Source organism: Homo sapiens, chromosome 7 (assembly GCF_000001405.40).
Source record: "Homo sapiens chromosome 7, GRCh38.p14 Primary Assembly".
Classification (NCBI taxonomy): Eukaryota; Metazoa; Chordata; class Mammalia; order Primates; family Hominidae; genus Homo; species Homo sapiens.
In genome coordinates, this window is record NC_000007.14 from 157,045,407 (window position 1) to 157,048,268 (window position 2,862).

At 49.1% G+C, this 2,862-nt stretch overlaps 1 annotated feature.

Moving 5' to 3' along the window:
- Positions 1–501: an enhancer, noted in NCBI's record as "H3K4me1 hESC enhancer chr7:156838101-156838601 (GRCh37/hg19 assembly coordinates)". NCBI's record gives its function as "activates a minimal SCP1, AML or CMV promoter by ChIP-STARR-seq in naive H9 embryonic stem cells {active_cell/tissue: H9 hESC(naive)}" and the evidence as "EXISTENCE:reporter gene assay evidence [ECO:0000049][PMID:30033119]".

A 2,862-nucleotide genomic window follows, 5' to 3' on the forward strand; every position in this document is an offset into this window, starting at 1 on the left:
AACTGGAGAACTGCCTCCAGGCTCAGCTTTCCGCAGGCACGCCCGCAGCGTGACTCCAGGCCTGTCATTCACCGCCGTGGCTCCCCGTGTCCCCATCTGTTCACGAAGGGCCTGAGCCGGAGGAACTCTCTGGCCCTTCCACTCCTTGTATCTGTTCTGTGATCCGGCAGCCTGTCAGGGAGCACAACTGCCTCTCACTCATGGAGGGGCTACGGGACCCACCTTCCGGGTGTCATCCCCACCCATGACTCCAGTGCCTAGTGCTGCTGCTGTGCCCGGCACAGGGTTGGCATCTGTCTTCATCAGGGGTTGTGTGGTTACAAGGAATAGAAACCCACTCGGCCTTGCCTGGGTGGCATGGGGCATGCTGGAGGATACCCAGTTCACCCCACAGACACTCAAGGCAGAAGCCAAACCAGGCCACATGTGTCTTAGACACCTTGGGCTGTCAAAGACACGGCTTCTCCCTGTTTCATGGGGGCACATGGTCTGTGCATATACACCTGTGCATGCCCATGCCCCACGCATGCACACACGTGTGCACACATGCACACAGGCCTTCAGCTTGCCTCAGCACAGACTCTGGTTCGGCTCTGCTTGGCCTTTCATTCCAGCATGAACCGTCATCTGTTGACTCCTGAGCTCTTAGTTCAAGGTACCAAGACAGAGAAGGAGTAACTTGGGCTGATGCTCCGTGGGTTATGCTTTCATCCTTGGTGTGATCAGCTGTGGAAGGAATTTAGAATAGAAAAAATGGCAAGGAGAAAGGCAGGGGCTGGGGCCGGGGAAGGGTGTGGCGGGAAGCCAAAGCAACCAATGGTATTTCAGTTCCGATGCTCAATGAATGTTTATTGATTGATTGATTGATTGATTGATGAATGAGTCTCCAAAGGGGAAGCTTGGGTCACTGCAGTAGACAGCTGCCCAGCATCCAAAGCTCATGCTCTGGGTGAGGAACCCCCGTGCTGAATCTTTGTAAGAGAAACGGGCCAGGTGCAGTGGCTCACGCCTGTAATCCCAGCACTTTGGGAGGCCGAGGCTGGCGGATTATGAGGTCAAGAGATTGAGACCATCCTGGCCAACATAGTGAAACCCTGTCTCTACTAAAAATACAAAAATTAGCTGGGTGTGGTGGCGCGCGCCTGTAGTCCCAGCTAGTCTGGAGGCTGAGGCAGGAGAATCACTTGAACCCAGGAGGCGGAGGTTGCAGTAAGCCAAGATCGGGCCACTGCACTCCAGCCTGGTGACAGAGCAAGACTCCATCTCAAAAAAAAAAAAAAAGAGGAAGGGCCTGCCCAGCATCCAGATCCCCAAACTCCAGGCAGGGAACCCCTGTGCTGAGTCTATGTAAGAAGGACCTGTGTCCAGCCCCCATGAAAGCCAAAGGGACCCATCCACCCTCCTCCCAGCTCCTGTGCCCCAGCTTGTCCAGCTGGACTTTCCCATGCTGGGCCTGGAGGCAGTGACACATGATGAAGGGACCACTCAGGATTCGTCACAGAACCACAGGCAGCTGGGGCTGTGAGTGCCTGAGGGGAGCTTGGCTGTGAGTCTACCATCAGCAATGCTGCTCTCTGAGCCTGATCTCAAGTCTTCCCATTCATTCCATGATCTCTCTGATGTATTTCCAATAAATTCCTTTTTTTTTTTTTTTGCTTAAATTAACCAGTTCCTGTTTTTGTAGCCAAGAACCTCAACTAATTGGATTTAGTAGAAGATTTTTAAGTAAATCGTTGCAGGAATGCTGGCCATGGATGGCGGAAGAAGCACAGATGACCCTCGGTGGTCTCTCCTGTGGGGCACCTGTCACAGGCCAGTGCAAGGTGCGGGGAACCCCGAGGCCCTGCTGCCTTTCTGTTAGATGAGGCGGGGCTTGCCATGGCTGGCCTTGGGAAGGAGGTGGATGCTGTCTTCAGTGCCCTGCACACTCTCTGTTATTACCTTTCTGCGGCCTGTCTGATACAGTCAATGATTAAGCTGCATAACTTAAATATTTATTGAGTGCATGCCTTACTCTAAGCCAAGATGAGGAGCCCTTGGCCCAAGGTGCTACTAAAAACTACTATGATGGAAGTCCTTATAAAGATATTTTTGGCCAGGTGCAGTGGCTCATGCCTACAATTCCAGCAGTTTGGGAGGCCGAGGCGGGAGGATCGCTTGAGGCCAGGAGTTGCAGACCAGCGTGGGCCACATGGTGAGACCCTGTCTCTACAGAAAAATAAAACAAAATAAAATAAAATGGCCAGACGTGCTGGTGTGCACTTGTGATCCCAGCTACTTGGAAGGCTGAGGTGGGTGGGAGAATTATCTGAGCCTGGGAGTTTGAGCCCAGTGAGCTATAATCGCACCACTGCACTCCAGCCTGGGTGACAGAATGAGACTCTCTCTCTCTCTCTCTCTCTCTCTCTCTCTCTATATATATATATATATATATATATAATACATTTATATATTATGTATATAATATATATAAAGATATATTTACAAGGACATTTACAGAGGAATTCTTGGGGCAGAGGGTATATTCATTTAAAATTTTTATAGATAATACCAAATTGTCCACCAAAGAGATTGAGCAATGTGTGAAAAGATTGTTTCTCTACCTCCTTACTCCAAACTTTATCATCTTTGCCAGTCTGGTGGGTGAGAAACAGTATTTCAATTTAGTCTCTTCCTGCCTGCCTTTCTTTGTTTCTTTCTTTCTTTCTTTCTTTCTTTCTTTCTTTCTTTCTTTCTTTCTTTCTTTCTTTCTTTCTCTTTCTTTCTTCCTTTCTTTTTCTTTCTTTCTTTCTTTCTTTCTTTCTTTCTTTCTTTCTTTCTTTCTTTCTTTCCTTCTTTCTTTCTTTCTTTTTCTTTCTTCCT